The following is a 21724-nucleotide window of genomic DNA, read 5'->3' as shown; positions in this document are numbered from 1 at the left end:
GAAAAAAGAGGAAGGGCATGGAGTTTTGAAGATTTTGAAGAAGAGAACAAATGTTAAGCTCTTTGCAATACATAAGGCACCCATTCAATGAAAAATAGAAAAATAGTCATGATGGGAATAAGCACAATGAAAAGGATAATGTCTGCTTTGAAATAAATGGAAACACCACAGTGCAAGCACATGCTTATGTTCATTTTAGGTCTAGGGAAGTGGCCTAAGTGAGGAATATAAATGCCAAGAACTCTTCCTTATTTTTATCCCCTGCCATTACCACAGATTTACATGAGGTTTATCTTCAGCCAGTGTGGGATCTGAAAGCAGTTTCAACAGAGCTGGTTCTATAGGCAAAAGACTCCTCTGACCATGTGAGGTCTTACCTGTTTTTCATTTCAATCCTAACATGCGACCCTAAAATTCTTCCACAGGATAGCTAGGAAGAATCATATTTTTGTAATGCTCGGTTTTCATCAAAAATCAGGACTTTTTCATTTATGCTTGAAATAAAACTCCTGACATTATTTAGCAATAAATAAAAACATGGCATGAATAGAACTACAGACCCCTAACAGATTCCAATTGGCCAGCCCAGGATATTAAGTGGAGTGAGCTATAGGGGGAAGAATTATGAAGAGAAACTAGGGTGCAGGAAACAAAAAGAAAATGTAATGTAGTTATCCTTTCAAAAGCTTTGTCAACCACATTCCCAAAACATTTAATGGAGTAGCTGATGTCATTATGAAATTATGTTTATTATGACAGTCAAAGAAAAAGAGCAGATGAAAGCATATTAAAATATATAACTGCACAATAATGTAGCTTGTTTTATTTTAGAGTATTGGATGATCTCATTTTTTTGAACGTACGTATTAGTAACCTTGGAAACTAATATGTAAAAATTAGTATGGTATGTGCCACATCATAGTTACTTTTATTGGTCAGAATTTGTTTGGCTCTAATTGATATCCTAAGAAGTCTTAAGAAAAAAAGCAATAAATGTATTATTGCCTCATATAATTACAAATTTCATTGTTGATCCATGAGCAATTTAGAATTACATATGTTGACTAGTAGAAATAAAAAGATGCTTATTGGAGAGGTATAATCTAGCACTCAATACTGGAAGAAGGAGGTGGGTCTAGGCCTTCAAATCATTGTTTCAAAAATTTGAAAAGGGATGATTTTCCCAAAGGAATATCAAGATGCTGTCACCAAAATAAGAGGGGATAGTAAACAGCCAAGGAGAAACATCTGTTGTTACTAACAGCAATTGCATAATGCCAATTGAATGAATGACTGTTACAAATAGGATTAAGAGGGAATGGTGAAAACAAGTGCATGGACAATTTTAGGAGTGTGGCAAAATTAGTACTATGATGGCTGAAAGGTGTACTACAGTGTGTCGCCTTTGTTTTTATTTATTGGGTTAAAAATATTTTATATTTGCAATGTAAAATAACTTCTGATTTTACTTCATATGAAGATATAATGTGTTCTCTGTGAACCATTACTGCTTAGGTCTGGGGCTCTCAAAATTAAACAGTTCTGAATCAAACCAGGGTCTCGTTTTGTTAGGTTGTTTGTTTGTTTGCATGTTTTTGTTTTACTCTTTTAAAATATTGTTTTCCATATAACCGAATCTCTGTATCTATACACATAATTTTTAATAGAGTAGAGCATTGGTGTAAAGAAATGAAAAAAATATCTAATTCTGTAACCAAGAATATTAAACACTGATACGGTGTTCTTTGTCAGACCTTGGATGTTTAGGTGAACAGTGAAATCATCCAAGTTCAATGATAACCTGAGATTGTCATTTTTTACTAGACTTCAGGATTCCCTTAGTGACCAGCCATGTCGAATTTTAGTAACAGCTCTATTTCCAGTATTTCCTATGGCTACATAGAAAAATTATACTCATTCTGAGTAGATTTTGTAAAACCTAAGAAAATAAAACAAATAAAAATAAAATAATACCAAGAGGCTCTGAGAAAATGACATTATCTCAAAAAGAGGGTACTGCATATATAGTTGGTCCTCCATAGCCGCGGGTTCTACATGGGCAGATTTAACCTTGGATGAAAAATATTCATACCCAAACATGATAAAATAGTAAAAAATATTGTAGTATAACAACTATTAACATAAGATTTAGACTGTATGACATGTTTAGACATATTTAAGTAATCCAGAGATGATTTAAAGTATTTGGGAGGATGCGCATAGGCCATATTCAAATACCACACCATTTATATAAGGTACTTGAGCATCTGCAGATCTTGGTAAGGAGCATAATCCTGGAACCCATTTCTCTTGAATACCAAGGTAGACTATGTGAGCAATAATTCCAGATCCTAGAAAACTATGGTTTCAGGAAACTTGAGATTTAAAGTATTTTAAAGATTTTATATAAAGACAACTTGATATGTCCTAATGAAACATGGAGGCTTTAAAAACGTAACTGTGTATTTTAATTTCCTGTAGCACTGGCAAGAGAATCCAAACAGAGCATACAGGGAAACTACTCAAGGAATGGTGCAGTGAAAGTTAGGAATTTTGTTAATCAATTATTTTATTCATTTACTTATATATTATACTGATATAACTATAATATAATATATCTTTCTCTAGACTTTGAGCTTCTCATGTGCAGAGACCTTGCCTCTTTTGTTCACTTCTATATTCTTAGCATTTGAGATGATGGTAGGCATATACAGAGTATTTCGAATAGTACTTGAAATGAATAAATTAATACTTGGGTAAAGACTTTTGAAAGAGTTTGAAAACCAAATTGGAACACACAAAAATTTATTGTAAATAATGTGATTTTTGTATTCTTCATTCGACCAGTTGATATATTAGAAATGGAGACTGTAATAGGATGAATTTAAAAGCAAAAGGCAGAAATGACATGTAAACATTCAAGAGTCCAATCTGAATGATTTAATTGGATTGATAGCTTAGTTTTGGAATGCAAGGACATTTCAGACTCTGCTAGTGCTCTGCTCTTCAACATTTAGGCTGAGATGGAAGGTATTGACAAGGTTTTGACGAGAACAGTTTATCTTTATTATCTTCATGCTGTGTTATGCTTGTCCAGAAACCAAACAAATGTCAACCATAGTCAGCTGCTTTGGGATGGTACCTTAACTCTTAGGCTAAGAATTCCATAAACTCTTTAGTAAAGAAAGCCTTTCTGTGGTATAGGGAATGCACTAAATTCATCCTACCCTTGGAGTAAGATTTAGCTTGCATACACACACATAATACATACATGCACAGATATTTAGATACATATTCATACATGTTTTTCCTTCATACGAGTTCAAGAATAAGGTTTTGGAGTGCTGTAATTTCTAGATTCTTTCTTTTCTTAATAGGTAAAAGAAAGAATGGGCTCCGTCAGGCAAACTTAAACGAATTTCATTAAATCCTCACTAAAGTCTTCTCCAGCTGTAAAATATCATACGTATTTATGGCAGAGTAATGTTACCAAATATTTAGTCCTCTTGGAGTTTGATAAAGTCATGTGCTTCATGTCTTTATTTCTCTGCCTATGCAACCCAAAAGACTGAATGTCCTGCAAGATGTGGCAAAACAGCAGAACTTCCATCACCCTGAATCCCAGAATTGCCACACGAACATTACTGGATATTCAGTGTAAGTGGGCAACACATTTTAGTGGATTAATCCACTGAGATTTGTATGGTTTATTTTATTATTACTTTATTTGTCTTTTGAGGCCTTATAAATGTAGTATGTAAAGTCATAGGCTTTAGTATAATGACTGCGAATATGTCAAATGCATCTCGGATTGATTTTTTTGCTTGGTTCTGTGATCTTTGTCTAAAACTTAGCTTATCACAATGTTGTCATTTTTCTTTTTTTGTTTGTTTGTTTTTTTTGTTTTCTGAGATGGAATCTCACTCTGTCACCCAGGCTGGAGTGCAGTGGCAGGATCTGGGTTCACTGCAACCTCTCTGCCTCCCGGGTTCAAGCAATTCCCTGCCTCAGCCTCCCAAGTAGCTGGGATTACAAGCGCCTGCCACCACACCTGGCTATTTTTTTCTATTTTTAGTAGAGACGGGGTTTCACTATCTTGGTCAGGCTGGTTTTGAACTCCTGACCTTGTGTTCCACCTGCGTCAGCCTCCTAAAGTGCTGGGATTACAGGTGTCAGCCACCGTGCCTGGCCCAATGTTGTCATTTTTCTGACTAATTCCAAGAAAAGTTTTGAGGATTAATCTAGAAAAAGCAATTAGCAATTTACATGGAACCTAGTAGGTGCAAAAACAAAGATAGTTTCTTTGTCTTTTAGCTAACTTATCAACCAATCTTAGGTTGCTGGAACATTATCAAATTGATCTGTTTTCTGGAATATGAATACTTTGCCATAGAAAATAATGAGGTAAATAGTATTTCCTATTTAATTTTTTTTTTACAAAATGCAAGGTTAGTTTAATTGTATCTTCATTGTAAACTGTTTTTTAAAAACAAATAAAAGCATATTTACAATTGGGAAGTATCAATTTTTGAACCAGCAGCATTTTGCCTAATACTTGCTTCAAAAAGAACTAATTTATATATGCTATTTTATCTAGAAAGTGAGCTAGACATTTAATAGAGCATAATCTCAGTCTCACTCTGAGAAAGCTCTGGTTTCTATTTTTCCATCATTTTATTATAAATATTTCCAAACACATAGCAAAGTTGCAGTATATCCACCATCAACCATCTTATATTTTGATGCATTTCAAAGTAAACCTTTGACATCAGTATATTTCCCTTCTAATCATTTAAGCATGTATATTATGAATTAGAAATCTATATGCGTTTACCTTTTTTATATGACTTTTATTATAAAAGTAGTATGTGTTCATTTTAGAAATTGGAAGTTACAGATAAAAATATTGACAGATCTAACAGTTGGTATTTATTTGTACCAGCCATCTCAATTAATCCATTATCACACCCTACAAAATAGCATTATCCCCATTTTACAGATGAAGAATCTATGAACAAATTGCCCCAGTTCCCACAGTGGCAGAGTTAGGGAATGCACCCAGGTATGTTTCATAACCTTACTTTTTTTTTTTTTTTTTCATTTTTATGGATATTCACTTGTACATGTGATAGTTTAATACAAGCATGCCATGTGTAATGACCAAGTCTGGGTAACTGGGATATTCAACATCTCAAACTTTTATCATTTATTTGTGTTGGGAGCATTCCAAATCTATTCTTCTAGTTATTTTGAAATATACAATATTTATGGTTAACAGTAGTCACCCTATTGTTACCAAACACTAGATCTTATTTCTTTTATGTAACTGTATTTTTATACCCATAAACAACCCCTCTTTCTCCTGCCTCTACTCTGCTTTTCCCAGCCTCCAGTAGCCACCAATGTAAAACTCAGGTTTAGCAAAACAAGCATTTGCATACTTGAGAGAAAATGTTAATTTTAAGGCAACAATAAGGAAAAATGAAGTAAAGTATTTCAGTGCTTCCACTGTTCTGCAAGTAAAAACAGAACAATTAAAAAAGTATAACCACAACACAGACCTAAATTATATTCCTTTATTCTGCCAGTAATTGTGACAGCCTCAAATATGATGAAAGACTTCATCATCTTTCTGTTACAATTCATTTAATTATATGCATCTTAGCTTGGATGAGTTATTGTTATTGCTACACTGTTTTTGAGGCTTCATTGCAAATTGTGTGGGGGTGTTGGGGTGGAGTAAGAAAAAATATATTGCTACATACATTTTCTCTATATCTTTATGATGTAAAAATGGCAGTATTTTGCCCTTATTCACTGTTACATTATTTCTACAATATTTGCTACACACTTATTTTACTATTTTTTATTATAATTTTCAGAGCATTGAATAATTTTAAATTTTATCTAAGAATTTTAACTTCTGATATAGCTTTACTTATTAAAGGTTAAAAAATAATCATTTAATCTTTACTCATTAAATACTACTGAACTGAAGTGCAAAAGCTGGTATTAACAATGCAGGGTATTTTTGGTGAGTACAGAAGCAAATATATTCTACAATACATATCTGCTTGTTCAAGAATATACAATTCTGATGCATAAGGATATACTTTCTTATAATCAGCATCTAAGATCCAACTCCAAAGCAGCGTTTGCTGTGAATGAAAAATAGCTGTTACCCTATGACTCATTTACACTTTGCCCTTCTAATCAGAAACATCAGAAAAGATGGTAATTCATGTAAAAATATGACACTTCTCAGATATGTCAGGTTCTTCTAGGCTCCTTGAATAAATGGGTTCTTTGTGGCTACAGTCAGTTGACAACTGAGTTTCATTATGCACTTTGCATATATAAGTTACTTTTTAAGTGAGCACAATAAAATCTTATAAAATATATGAAAATGTTGATTCCTAGGGAGTTTACTGTCTAGCTTGAAAAGCCACTGACATACACACGAAAAATTCTAGTGGCTATCTAGATTATATTTTAATTTATCTATATTGATCATAAATACAAAGGGAAGAACTGGGTATGGACTTTCATTCTGTCACCTACCAATTTTATAATTTCTGAACCTAGGTTCCTTCATCTGCCTGGTTACATTAATAAAATGTAGAGTTGCTGTGGATAAAAGTACACATGTGGTGGCTCGTGACTATAATCTCAGGGACTTGGGACTTGGGAGGCCAAGGCAGGAGGATTGCTTGAGGCTAGGATTTTTTTTATGTTTTTAATGTTTTACTTTTTAATTTGTATGGGTACAGAGTAGTTGTGTGTATTTATAGGGTACATGAGATGTTTTGATACAGACATGCAATGGGTAATAATCACATCATGGAGAATGGGGGATCCATCCCCTCAAGCATTTATCCTTTAAATACCAGGTGTTCAATTAAGATAAATTGGGATGGAGAAGATAAAGTAACTGCAGCAGAAGTTGTAATGGTCTTCAACTGTCTATATCATCATCAGTCTTCTAGCTCAAATGACGGCTTGAATACACTGCCACAAGAAGTATTTACTGGTTCAAAAATTGAAAGCAAGTTTTCAAGTGCCAGGATGAAATCCACTGCAATAATGTAAAATGTAATTGCCCCATTTATTATTACAGAGATTACTAAAGGTCTGATGCTGTTTTTAATGGCAGTGTGTTTTAATGGCAATGTGTTTTATTTCTCTGGTGGAAAAAAGGGTTATGCTCCAGCGACCTAAAATAGCCCCACTGAGCATATTTCGCACCTCCACACAAGGCACTTGGGGATTTGTATGGGAAGAGTCCTCTTTCTTGGGTTGAAAGAGATGTGATTTGGAAAGGGAAAAGGTTGCTGAGGACAGGAAGTACCTTCCATTCAACTAAGGTCATAGGTAGCTGTTGTCCTTCTGGTACCTTCCTCTGGCCCACGGGGGCAGCAGTGGGCGAGAGGGCATTATTTAGTGGATGGAGGTAAGGAAAAAATAAAGCGTATGAAGTCGAAGGTTGAGCACTATGTGGAAAAGTTTTATTGTTAAGCAGGGAACCTGTGTCTAGGCTCTGGGGATGAGATGCCTAGACTTGGGAGGGGGTGTGGGGAGAACTAGGGTGGGTCCTTCAAAGCCAAGACACTGCAAACGCTATTTGTGCCCTTAGGATAGCAAAGTCTCTGATGGTTGCTGTTGTGCTGATGATGTGTGAACTGTCCCGGGGAGGGTCTCCTGCTTGGGATATGGTGATATAAGATGTGGTGCCCAGCTGCCCCTGCTATGCACAGGTCATGCGGGTCAGGATTGGGTGGCCCAGTCCACTTTGCACCAGTATCAGCCGGCTCATGGCCAAGTCAGGGTTTATCAGTGGCCACAGTGGTGGGAGGTGAAGACAGTGCTCTTCTCATATACTCCTTTTATTTATTATACTCCCCTGCCCATTTCTACCATCTACATCATATGGCATATGGGAACACGAAGTTTGATCCTGGACACTACCCTCAGCCTCTTGGAGCCTCAGCCTGCTCACCTCTGAGGAAGGAGGATAAATGCCCAGCACAGAATGAGCTTGACATCAGACGTGCTGAACCGCTGACCGGGGACCACCCTGACCCTGCAACCTCACAATGGGATTTTTTTCTTTTTTTATTATACTTTAAGTTTTAGGGTACATGTGCACAACATGCAGGTTTGTTACATATATATAAATGTACCATGTTGGTGTGCTGCACCCATTAACTCGTCATTTAACATTAGGTATATCTCCTAATGCTATCCCTCCCCCATCCCGCAACCCCACAACAGGCCCCGGTGTGTGATGTTCCCCTTCCGGTGTCCATGTGTTCTCATTGTTCAATTCCCACCTATGAGTGAGAACATGTAGTGTTTGATTTTTTGTCCTTGCCATAGTTTACTGAGAATGATGGTTGCCAGCTTCATCCATGTCCCTACAAAGGACATGAACTCATCCTATTTTATGGCTGCATAGTATTCCATGGTGTATATGTGCCACATTTTCTTAATCCAGTCTATCATTGTTGGACATTTGGGTTGGTTCCAAGTCTTTGCTATTGTGAATAGTGCCGCAATAAACATACGTGTGCACGTGTCTTTATAGCAGCATGATTTATAATCCTTTGGGTATATACCCAGTAATGGGATTGCTGGGTCAAATGGTATTTCTAGTTCTATATCTGTGAGGAATTGCCATACTAACTTCCACAATGGTTGAACTAGTTTACAGTCCCACCAAGAGTGTAAAAGTGTTCCTATTTCTCCACATCCTCTCCAGCACCTGTTGTTTTCTGACTTTTTAATGATCACCATTCTAACTGGTGTGAGATGGTATCTCATTGTGGTTTTGATTTGCATTTCTCTGATGGCCAGTGATGATGAGCATTTTCTTCTGTTGGCTGCATAAATGTCTTCTTTTGAGAAGTGTCTGTTCACATCCTTCACCCACTTTTTGATGGCGTTGTTTGTTTTTTTCTTGTAAATTTGTTGGAGTTCATTGTAGATTCTGGATATTAGCCCTTTGTCAGATGAGTAGATTGCAAAAATTTTCTCCCATTTTGTAGGTTGCCTGTTCACTCTGATGGTAGTTTCTTTTGCTGTGCAGAAGCTCTTTAGTTTAATTAGATCCCATTTGTCAATTTTGTCTTTTGTTGCCATTGCTTTTGGTGTTTTAGATGCAAAGTCCTTGCCCATGCCTATGTTCTGAATGGTATTGCCTAGGTTTTCTTTTAGGTTTTTATGGTTTTAGGCCTAACATTCAAATCTTTAATCCATCTTGAATTAATTTTAGTATAAGGTGTAAGGAGGGGATCCAGTTTCAGCTTTCTACATATGGCTAGCCAGTTTTCCCAGCACCATTTATTAAATTGGGAATTATTTCCCCATTTCTTGTTTTTGTCAGATTTGTCAAACATCAGATGGTTGTAGATATGTGGCATTATTTCTGAGGGTTCTGTTCTGTTCCATTGGTCTATATCTCTGTTTTGGTACCAGTACCATGCTGTTTTGGTTACTGTAGCCTTGTAGTATAGTGTGAAGTCAGGTAGTGTGATGCCTCCAGCTTTGTTCTTTTGGTTTAGGATTGACATGGCAATGCAGGCTCTCTTTTGGTTCCATATGAACTTCAAAATAGTTTTTTCCAGTTCTGTGAAGAAAGTCATTGGTAGCTTGATGGGGATGGCATTGAATCTATAAATTACCTTGGGCAGTATGGCCATTTTCACGATATTGATTCTTCCTACCCATGAGCATGGAATGTTCTTCCATTTGTTTGTATCCTCTTTTATTTCATTGAGCAGTGATTTGTAGTTCTCCTTGAAGAGGTCCTTCATATCCCTTGTAAATTGGATTCCTAGGTATTTTATTCTCTTTGAAGCAGTTGTGAATGGGAGTTTACTCATGATTTGGCTCTCTGTTTGTCTGTTATTGGTGTATAAGAATGCTTGTGATTTTTGCACATTGATTTTGTATCCTGAGACTTTGCTGAAGTTGCTTATCAGCTTAAGGAGATTTTGGGCTGAGACAATGGGGTTTTCTAAATATACAATCATGTCATCTGCAAAAAGGGACAATTTGTTTTCCTCTTTTCCTAACTGAATACCATTTATTTCTTTCCCCTGCCTGATTGCCCTGGCCAGAACTTCCAATACTATGCTGAACAGGAGTGGTGAGAGAGGGCATCCCTGTCTTGTGCCAGTTTTCAAAGGGAATGCTTCCAGTTTTTTCCCATTCAGTATGATATTGGCTGTGGGTTTGTCATTGGTAGCTCTTATTATTTTGAGATATGTCCCATCAATACCTAATTTATTGAGAGTTTTTAGCATGAAGGGTTGTTGAATTTTGTCAAAGGCCTTTTCTGCATCTATTGAGATAATCATGTGGTTTTTGTCTTTGGTTGTGTTTCTATGCTGGATTACGTTTATTGATTTTCATATGTTGAACCAGCCTTGTATCCCAGGGATGAAGCCCACTTGAGCATGGTGGATAAGCTTTTTGATGTGCTGCTGGATTCGGTTTGCCAGTATTTTATTGGGGATTTTTGCATCAATGTTCATCAGGGATATTGGTCTAAAATTCTCTTTTTTTGTTGTGTCTCTGCCAGGCTTTGGTATCAGGATGATGCTGGCCTCATAAAATGAGTTAGGGAGGATTCCTTCTTTTTCTATTGATTGGAATATTTTCAGAAGGAATGGTACCAGCTCCTCCTTGTACCTCTGGCAGAATTCAGCTGTGAATCCATCTGGTCCTGGACTTTTTTTGTTGGTAAGCTATTAATTATTGCCTCAATTTCAGAGCCTGTTATTGGTCTATTCAGGGATTCAGCTTCTTTCTGGTTTAGTCTTGGGAGCGTGTATGTGTCCAGGAATTCATCCATTTCTTCCAGATTTTCTAGTTTATTTGCATAGAGGTGTTTATAGTATTATCTGATGGTAGTTTGTATTTCTGTGGGATCAGTGGTGATATCCCCTTTATCATTTTTTCTTCCGTCTGTTTGAGTCTTCTCCTCTCTTTTTTTCTTTATTAGTCTTGCTAGTGGTCTATCAATTTTGTTGATCTTTTCAAAACACCAGCTCCTGGATTCATTGATTTTTTCAAGGGTTTTTTGTGTCTCTATTTCCTTCAGTTCTGCTCTGATCTTAGTTATTTCTTACCTTCTGCTACCTTTTGAAGGTGTTTGCTCTTGCTTCCCTAGTTCTTTTAATTGTGATGTTAGGGTGTCAATTTTTTATCTTTCCTGCTTTCTCTTGTGGGCATTTAGTGCTATAAATTTCCCTCTACTCACTGCTTTGAATGCGTCCCAGAGATTCTGGTATGTTGTGTCTTTGTTCTGGTTGGTTTCAAAGAACATCTTTATTTCTGCCTTCATTTCGTTATGTACCCAGTAGTCATTCAGGAGCAGGTTGTTCAGTTTCCATGTAGTTGAGCGGTTTTGAGTGAGTGTCTTAATCCTGAGTTCTAGTTTGATTGCACTGTGGTCTGAGAGATAGTTTGTTATAATTTCTGTTCTTTTACATTTGCTGAGTGTGCTTTACTTCCAACTATGTGGTCAGTTTTGGAATACGTGTGGTGTGGTGTTGAAAAGAATGTATATTCTGTTGATTTGGGGTGGAGAGTTCTGTAGATGTGTATTAGGTCCACTTGGTGCAGAGCTGAGTTCAGTTCCTGGATACCCTTGTTGACTTTCTGTCTCGTTGATCTGTCTAATGTTGACAGTGGGGTGTTAAAGTCTCCCATTATTACTGTGTGAGAGTCGAAGTCTCTTTGTAGGTCTCTAAGGACTTGCTTTATGAATCTGGGTGCCCCTGTATTGGGTGCATATATATTTATGGTAGTTAGCTCTTCTTGTTGAATTGATCCCTTTACCATTATGTAATGGCCTTCTTTGTCTCTTTTGATCTTTGTTGGTTTAAAGTCTGTTTTATCAGAGACTAGGATTGTAACCCCTGCCTTTTTTTGCTTTCCATTTGCTTGGTAGATCTTCCTCCATCCCTTTATTTTGAGTCTTTTTGTGTCTCTGCACGTGAGATGGGTTTCCTGAATACAGCACACTGGTGGGTCTTGAGTCTTTATCCAATTTGCCAGTCTGTGTCTTTTAATTGGAGCATTTAGCCCATTTATATTTAAGGTTAATATCGTTATGTGTGAATTTGATCCTGTCGTTGTGATGTTAGCTGGTTATTTTGCTCACTAGTTGATGCAGTTTCTTCCTAGCCTCGATGGTCTTTACAGTTTGGCATGATTTTGCAGTGGCTGGTACTGGTTGTTCCTTTCCATGTTTAGTGCTTCCTTCAGGAGCCCTTTAAGGCAGGCCTGGTGGTGACAAAATCTCTCAGCATTTGCTTGTCTGTAAAGTATTTTATTTCTCCTTGACTTATGAAGCTTAGTTTGGCTGGGTATGAAATTCTGGGTTGAAAATTCTTTCCTTTAGAAATGTTGAATATTGGCCCCCACTGTCTTCTGGCTTGTAGAGTTTCTGCTGAGAGATCCACTGTTAGTCTGATGGGCTTCCCTTTGTGGGTAACCTGACCTTTCTCTCTGGCTGCCCTTAACATTTTTTCCTTCATTTCAACTTTGGTGAATCAGACAATTATGTGTCTTGGAGTTGCTCTTCTCGAGGAGTGTCTTTGTGGCATTCTCTGTATTTCCCGAATTTGAAAGTTGGCCTGCCTTGCAAGGTTGGGGAAGTTTTCCTGGATAATATCCTGCAGAGTGTTTTCCAACTTGGTTCCATTCCCCCCTCACTTTCTGTCAGGTACACCAATCAGACATAGATTTGGTGTTTTCACATAGTCCCATATTTCTTGGAGGCTTTGTTCGTTTCTTTTTATTCTTTTTTCTCTAAACTTCTCTTCTTGCTTCATTTCATTCTTTTGATCTTCCATCACTGATACCATTTCTTTCAGTTGATCAAATTGGCTACTGAGGCTTGTGCATTCGTCACGTAGTTCTCGTGCCGTGGTTTTGAGCTCCATCAGGTCCTTTGAGGACTTCTCTGCTTTGGTTATTCTAGTTAGCCATTTGTCTAATCTTTTTTCAAGGTTTTTAACTTCTTTGCCATGGGTTTGAACTTCCTCCTTTAGCTCAGAGTCGTTTGATTGTCTGAAGCCTTCTTCTCTCAACTCGTCAAAGTCATTCTCCGTCCAGCTTTGTTCTGTTGCTGGTGAGGAGCTGCATTCCTTTGGAGGAGGAGAGGCGCTCTGATTTTTAGAATTTTCAGTTTTTCTGCTGTTTTTTCCCCATCTTTGTGGTTTTATCTACCTTTGGAAAGCAGAAACCTATTTAGTTTGTTGTTAAATGATTACAGTGAACTAGAATATTAGAAAGGGGGAAATCAGATTCTCTATTGGAATTTAGAACACAGCTATTTGAGGAGTTTGATCAGCGTTTCTCCTTAGGGTAAAATATATATAACAGTGAAAGGATTGAAAAATCCCCATTAAGTGTAAAATTTTGAAATATTCATTTTAATAGTATTTTGCCCATATAGTTTTCACTACAGGAAAGCTGTTTCTTCTACTTTGACAATTCTTCCCACATGGATTTTACAATAATGTTGGGCTAATACAATGTGAAACACAGCAAACAACCCTAACTGTTCGTATCATCTTTTTCCACAAGGTGAAGTAACAGATATTGGGGTTTGTCTAGGAAATCTATGGGAGGGGGGAAGGCTCCTGAATTGAATTAATTTTTTTCTAAATTTGGTATCTACTACTTTAGGCAACCCTCCCCCTCCCCTACAAAATAAAGCAGACCTTATGTTTCAAGATAGGCTCAAGGGTCCTGAGAAAAAACACTTGGTTATTGTTTTAATCAAAGTGATGGCATGCTTTAAATAAACACAAAAGATAGTAACAGTTTTGTAAGAAACTTTAGGTTTTTCGTAAGTGAGGAATTTTTCAAAAAATTAGCCAGTTGCATAATAAAATGAAAACTAAGAAAAGTACGTTTTTCAATGAGATATAGACTCTTTGCTATGTGGAAAATATACCTAAAAGATTAAACAATGATATTTTATTATTCCTTTAGAGTTTCTAACGCTTACTTATCAACTTAACAGAAAAAGTCACATTTCACTTTCATATTGATAAATATTTGGCATGACCACCTACCCTCATTACTGACCCCCTTAAATTATGTGGTGAATAAATTCATCAAAACTCAGTGAACTTTGCCAAAATATAAATTATCTCAGCTTTTTTTCAGGCTTAGATATTTTAAACGAAGGCAAACAAAATTAACATCCTTCATACCTTCTCCTACTTGCTGTACACACTAAAGTTTCCTCCTTTTGTGTTTTTTTTATTTTATTATTCTGGATCAAACTTGTATTTCATTTTAAGATAAAACTACTCTCTTTTTTCCTAGAAAAACAAAACCTCAGCTTTACATACACATTGCTTTCCTCAATCATCATTGCTTTTCATGTAGTCTCAATAACCCATGTTAGTTATAACTTTATTATTATTATTATTGTTATTATTATTATTATACTTTAAGTTTTAGGGTACATGTGCACAATGTGCAGGTTAGTTACATATGTATACATGTGCCATGCTGGTGCGCTGCACCCACTAACTCGTCATCTAGCATTAGGTATATCTCCCAATGCTATCCCTCCCCTATCCCCCCACCCCACAACAGTCCCCAGAGTGTGATATTCCCCTTCCTGTGTCCATGTGTTCTCATTGTTCAATTCCCACCTATGAGTGAGAATATGCGATGTTTGGTTTTTTGTTCTTGTGATAGTTTACTGAGAATGATGATTTCCAATTTCATCCATGTCCCTACAAAGGACATTAACTCATCCTTTTTTATGGCTGCATAGTATTCCATGGTGTACATGTGCCACATTTTCTTAATCCAGTCTATCATTGTTGGACATGTGGGTTGGTTCCAAGTCTTTGCTATTGTGAATAATGCCGCAATAAACATACGTGTGCATGTGTCTTTATAGCAGCATGATTTATAGTCCTTTGGGTATATACCCAGTAATGGGATGGCTGGGTCAAATGGTATTTCTAATTCTAGATCCCTGAGGAATCGCCACACTGACTTCTACAATGGTTGAACTAGTTTACAGTCCCACCAAGAGTGTAAAAGTGTTCCTATTTCTCCACATCCTCTCCAGCACCTGTTGTTTCCTGACTTATTAATGATTGCCATTCTAACTGGTGTGAGATGATATCTCATTGTGGTTTTGATTTGCATTTCTCTGATGGCCAGTGATGGTGAGCATATTTTCATGTGTTTTTTGGCTGCATGAATGTCTTCTTTTGAGAAGTGTCTGTTCGTGTCCTTCGCCCACTTTTTGATGGGGTTATTTGTTTTTTCTTGTAAATTTGTTTGAGTTCATTGTAGATTCTGGATATTAGCCCTTTGTCAGATGAGTAGGTTGCGAAAATTTTCTCCCATTTTGTAGGTTGCCTGTTCACTCTGATGGTAGTTTCTTTTGCTGTGCAGAAGCTCTTTAGTTTAATTAGATCCCATTTGTCAATTTTGTCTTTTGTTGCCATTGCTTTTGGTGTTTTAGACATGAAGTCCTTGCCCATGCCTATGTCCTGAATGGTATTGCCTAGGTTTTCTTCTAGGGTTTTTATGGTTTTAGGTCTAGCGTTTAAGTCTTTAATCCATCTTGAATTCATTTTTGTATAAGGTGTAAGGAAGGGATCCAATTTCAGCTTTCTACATATGGCTAGCCAGTTTTCCCAGCACCATTTATTAAATAGGGAAACTTTTCCCCATTTCTTGTTCTTCTCAGGTTTGTCAAACATCAGATAGTTGTAGATATGTGGCCTTATTTCTGAGGGCTCTGTTCTGTTCCATTGATCTATATCTCTGTTTTGGTACCAGTACCATGCTGTTCTGGTTACTGTAGCCTTGTAGTATAGTTTGAAGTCAGGTAGTGTGATGCCTCCAGCTTTGTTCTTTTGGCTTAGGATTGACTTGGCAATGCAGGCTCTTTTTTGGTTCCATATGAACTTTAAAGTAGTTTTTTCCAATTCTGTGAAGAAAGTCATTGGTAGCTTGATGGGGATGGCATTGGATCTATAAATTACCTTGGGCATTATGGCCATTTTCACGATATTGATTTTTCCTACCCATAAGCATGGAATGTTCTTCCATTTGTATCCTCTTTTATTTCACTGAACAGTGGTTTGTAGTTCTCCTTGAAGAGGTCCTTCACATCCCTTGTGAATTGGATTCCTAGGTATTTTATTCTCTTTGAAGCAATTGTGAATGGGAGTTCACTCATGATTTGGCTCTCTGTTTGTCTGTTGTTGGTGTATAAGAATGCTTGTGATTTTTGTACATTGATTTTGTATCCTGAGACTTTGCTGAAGTTGCTTATCAGCTTAAGGAGATTTTGGGCTGAGACAATGGGGTTTTCTAGATATACAATCATGTCATCCGCAAACAGGGAAAATTTGACTTCCTCTTTTCCTAATTGAATACCCTTTATTTCCTTCTCCTGCCTAATTGCCCTGGCCAGAGCTTTCAACACTATGTTGAATAGGAGTGGTGAGAGAGGGCATCCCTGTCTTGTGCCAGTTTTCAAAGGGAATGCTTCCAGTTTTTGCCCATTCAGTATGATATTGACTGTGGGTTTGTCATAGATAGCTCTTATTATTTTGAAATACGTCCCATTAATACCTAATTTATTGAGAGTTTTTAGCATGAAGCGTTGTTGAATTTTGTCAAAGGCCTTTTCTGCATCTATTGAGATAATCATGTGGTTTTTGTCTTTGGTTCTGTTTCTATGCTGGATTACATTTATTGATTTGTGTATATTGAACCAGCCTTCCATCCCAGGGATGAAGCCCACTTGATCATGGTGGATAAGCTTTTTGATGTGCTGCTGGATTGGTTTTGCTAGTATTTTATTGAGGATTTTTGCATCAGTGTTCATCAAGAATATTGGTCTAAAATTCTCTTTTTTTGTTGTGTCTCTGCCAGGCTTTGGTATCAGGATGATGCTGGCCTCATAAAATGAGTTAGGGAGGATTCCCTCCTTTTCTATTGATTGGAATAGTTTCAGAAGGAATGGTATCAGTTCCTCCTTGTACCTCTGGTAGAATTCGGCTGTGAATCCATCTGGTCCTGGACTCTTTTTGGTTGGTAAACTATTGATTATTGCCACAATTTCAGATCCTGTTACCGGTCTATTCAGAGATTCAACTTCTTCCTGGTTTAGTCTTGGGAGAGTGTATGTGTCGAGGAATTTATCCATTTCTTCTAGATTTTCTAGTTTATTTGCGTAGAGGTGTTTATAGTATTCTCTGATGGTAGTTTGTATTTCTGTGGGATTGGTGGTGATATCCCCTTTATCATTTTTTATTGTGTCTATTTGATTCTTCTCTCTTTTTTTCTTTATTAGTCTTGCTAGTGGTCTATCAATTTTGCTGATCCTTTCAAAAAATCAGCTCCTAGATTCACTAATTTTTTGAAGGTTTTTTTGTGTCTCCATTTCCTTCAGTTCTGCTCTGATTTTAGTTATTTCTTACCTTCTGCTACCTTTTGAATGTATTTGCTCTTGCTTCTCTAGTTCTTCTAATTGTGATGTTAGGGTGTCAATTTTAGATCTTTCCTGCTTTCTCTTGTGGGCATTTAGTGCTATAAATTTCCCTCTACTCACTGCTTGGAATGCGTCCCAGAGATTCTGGTATGTTGTGTCTTTGTTCTCTTTGGTTTCAAAGAACATCTTTATTTCTACCTTCATTTCGTTATGTATCCAGTAGTCATTCAGGAGCAGGTTGTTCAGTTTCCATGTGGCTGAGCGGTTTTGAGTGAGATTCTTAATCCTGAGTTCTAGTTTGATTGCACTGTGGTCTGAGAGATAGTTTGTTATAATTTCTGTTCTTTTACATTTGCTGAGGAGAGCTTTACTTCCAACTATGTGGTTAATTTTGGAATAGGTGTGGTGTGGTGCTGAAAAAAATGTACATTCTGTTGATTAGGGGTAGAGAGTTCTGAAGATTTCTATTAGGTCCACTTGGTGCAGAGCTGAGTTCAATTCCTGGGTATCCTTGTTGACTTTCTGTCTCGTTGATCTGTCTAATGTTGACAGTGGGGTGTTAAAGTCTCCCATTATTACTGTGTGGGAGTCTAAGTCTCTTTGTAGGTCACTCAGGACTTGCTTTATGAATCTGGGTGCCCCTGTATTGGGTGCATATATATTTAGGATAGTTAGCTCTTCTTGTTTAATTGATCCCTTTACCATTATGTAATGGCCTTCTTTGTCTCTTTTGATGTGTGTTGGTTTAAAGTCTGTTTTATCAGAGACTAGGATTGCAACCCCTGCCTTTTTTGTTTTCCATTTGCTTGGTAGATCTTCCTCCATCCTTTTATTTTGAGCCTATATGTGTCTCTGCATGTGAGAAGAGTTTCCTGATTACAGCACACTGATGGGTCTTGACTCTTTATCCAATTTGCCAGTCTGTGTCTTTTAATTGGATCATTTAGTCTATTTACATTTAAAGTTAATATTGTTATGTGTGAGTTTGATCCTGTCATTATGATGTTAGCTGGTTATTTTGCTCACTAGTTGATGCAGTTTCTTCCTAGTCTGGATGGTCTTTACGTTTTGGTGTGGTTTTGCAGTGGCTGGTACTAGTTTTTCCTTTCCATGTTTAGTGCTTCCTTCAGGAGCTCTTTTAGAGCAGGCCTGGTGGTGACAAAATCTCTCAGCATTTGCTTGTCTGTAAAGTATTTTATTTCTCCTTGACTTATGAAGCTTAGTTTGGCTGGGTATGAAATTCTGGGTTGAAAATTCTTTTCTTTAAGAATGTTGAATATTGGACCTCACTCTCTTCTGGCTTGTAGAGTTTCTGCCGAGCGCTCCACTGTTAGTCTGATGGGCTTCCCTTTGTGGGTAACCTGACCTTTCTCTCTGGCTGCCCTTAACATTTTTTCCTTCATTTCGACTTTGGTGAATCTGACAAGTATGTGTCTTGGAATTGCTCTTCTCGAGGAGTATCTTTGTGGCATTCTCTGTATTTCCTGAATCTGAATGTTGGCCTGCCTTGCTAGATTGGGGAAGTTCTCCTGGATAATATCCTGCAGAGTGTTTTCTGACTTGGTTCCATTCTCCCCATCACTTTCAGGTACACCAATCAGATGTAGATTTGGTGTTTTCACATAGTCCCATATTTCTTGGAGGCTTTGTTCATTTCTTTTTGTTCTTTTTTCTCTAAACTTCCCTTCTCGCTTCATTTCATTCATTTCATCTTCCATCGCTGATACCCTTTCTTCCAGTTGATCTCATCAGCTCCTGAAGCTTCTGCATTCTTCACATAGTTCTCGAGCCTTGGTTTTAAGCTCCATCAGCTCGTTTAAGCACTTCTCTGTATTGGTTATTCTAGTTATACATTCTTCTAAATTTTTTTCAAAGTTTTCAACTTCTTTGCCTTTGGTTTGAATGTCCTCCCGTAGCTCGGAGTAATTTGATCTTCTGAAGCCTTCTTCTTTCAACTCATCAAAGTCATTCTCCGTCCAGCTTTGTTCCGTTACTGGTGAGAAACTGCGTTCCTTTGGAGGAGGAGAGGCGCTCTGCATTTTAGAGTTTCCAGTTTTTCTGTTCTGTTTTTTCCCCATCTTTGTGGTTTTATCTACTTTTGGTCTTTGATGATGGTGATGTACAGATGGGTTTTTGGTGTGGATGTCCTTTCTGTTTGTTAGTTTTCCTTCTAACAGCCAGGACCCTCAGCTGCAGTTCTGTTGGGGTGCCTCCCAGTTAGGCTGCTCAGGGGTCAGGGGTCAGGGACCCACTTGACGAGGCAGTCCGCCCATTCTCAGATCTCCAGCTGCATGCTGGGTGAACCACTGCTTTCTTCAAAGCTGTCAGACAGGGACATTTAAGTCTGCAGAGGTTACTGCTGTCTTTTTGTTTGTCTGTGTCCTGCCCCCAGAGGTGGAGCCTACAGAGGCAGCGAGGCCTCTTTGAGCTGTGGTGGGATCCACCCAGTTCGAGCTTTCCAGCTGCTTTGTTTACCTATGCAAGCCTGGGCAATGGCGGGCGCCCCTCCCCCAGCCTCACTGCCACGTTGCAGTTTGATCTCAGACTGCTGTGCTAGCAATCAGCAAGACTCCGTGGGCGTAGGACCCTCTGAGCCATGTGTGGGATATAATCTCCTGGTGCGCTGTTTTTTAAGCCCATCGGAAAAGCACAGTGTTTGGGTCAGAGTGACCCGATTTTCCAGGTGCCATCTGTCAACCACTTTCTTTGACTAGGAAAGGGAACTCCCTGACCCCTGGCGCTTCCCGAGTGAGGCAGTGCCTCTCCCTGCTTCGGTTTACTCATGGTGCATGTACCCACTGACCTGCGCCCACTGTCTGGCACTCCCTAGTGAGATGAACCCGGTATCTCAGATGGAAATGCAGAAATCACCCATCTTCTGCGTTGCTCACGCTGGGAGCTGTAGACCAGAGCTGTTCCTATTTGGCCATCTTGGCTTCTCTTCCCTAGTTATAACTCTTAACTAAAATAACTATCTTTTATTGCAAAGAAAACAACTGGATAATAGTACTGAGAATTGTCTGTCATATATAATCATGATTGTAGAAGACAAGCTCATACACGTAAGTATAGCCATATGTATCCCTTTTTCATCCTGTCAAAATGATAAGAAGGAAAAGGTTCATTAACATTACCCTAAGAGATGGCCACTCCATACCACATGCAAATAAGAAACTATAAAATTAAAATTATGTTTATAAGCCATCTTTCACTATTTAATATCCCTTAGAAATTAGCTAAGAATCCAGGGGGCTGGGCGCGGTGGCTCATGCCTGTAATCCCAACACTTTGGGAGGCCGAGGTGGGCGGATGACGCTTTCAGGACATTGAGACCATCCTGGCGAACACGGTGAAACCCCATCTGTACTAAAAAAATACAAAAAATTATCCAGGTGGTGGGTGCCTGTATTTCCAGCTACTCTGGAGGCTGAGGCAGGAGAATGGCGTGAACCTGTGAGGCAGAGGTTGCAGTGAGCCGAGACCGCGCCACTGCACTCCAGCCTGGGCGAAAGAGTGAGACTCCGTCTCAAAAAAAAAAAAAAAGAAATTAGCTGAAAATCCGAAGATTATCCATTAACATTTTAATATTAGTTCATGAATTTTAGTTATCTAAGGATCTTAGAAATATTTATTATAATATAGTGCAAAACATATTTATACTTTGTAAGCTTGTCAGAATTATGATTCCACTTAATTAAATCTACATTTATATTTTTTATGATCTTGAACATTATGTAAGTCTTATATTGGTAATCCAGTACAAGTTTAGAAATTTCAGATTAATTTACCTCTTAGTGAGAAAGCAAATCCAAATTTCACATAAAAGAAAACTTTAGAAATCATGCAAATATATCTTGTATATAATCTTATAAAATGTTTATATTTTACTCCATATTGAAACTCAAAAAATTGACATATAGCTATCATTAATATTTTAAATACAAAATTATTGATAGCATAATTTGCAAAATTCATCTTGATTATTCTTGGATTTTTAAAATGTTTCTAAGATATCAGTGTCTGCGATAAAGATTTGTCTCAATAATTTTAAAGTGTTATGAGTCCATTCTATTTATTTTCTGGGAAATTTTGAAATACTTAAATTTTTATCGATGCTTATTTATATTTATAAAATAATCAGAAGACAACTAATTTAAGCAATAGTATATTCAAATTTTTAATCCCTGAAGGTAGGAAACTATTTCACACTTATAATGAAATGTAAAA

General features: G+C 37.5%; 1 long non-coding RNA gene across 2 annotated transcripts in view, besides 1 other annotated feature; it reads left to right on the top strand.

Moving 5' to 3' along the window:
* LOC105376637 (uncharacterized) overlaps positions 1-21724 on the top strand; it is a 292809-nt gene that overhangs the window by 61716 nt on the left and 209369 nt on the right. The gene's annotated exons all lie outside the window — the stretch shown is intronic.
* Positions 19953-20454: an enhancer, noted in NCBI's record as "H3K4me1 hESC enhancer chr11:39902599-39903100 (GRCh37/hg19 assembly coordinates)". NCBI's record gives its function as "activates a minimal SCP1, AML or CMV promoter by ChIP-STARR-seq in naive H9 embryonic stem cells {active_cell/tissue: H9 hESC(naive)}" and the evidence as "EXISTENCE:reporter gene assay evidence [ECO:0000049][PMID:30033119]".

Source organism: Homo sapiens, chromosome 11, assembly GCF_000001405.40.
Source record: "Homo sapiens chromosome 11, GRCh38.p14 Primary Assembly".
Taxonomy (NCBI): domain Eukaryota; kingdom Metazoa; phylum Chordata; class Mammalia; order Primates; family Hominidae; genus Homo; species Homo sapiens.
The sequence above is the reverse complement of the archived record's forward strand: the minus strand, read 5'-3'. Positions and strand labels throughout refer to the sequence as shown.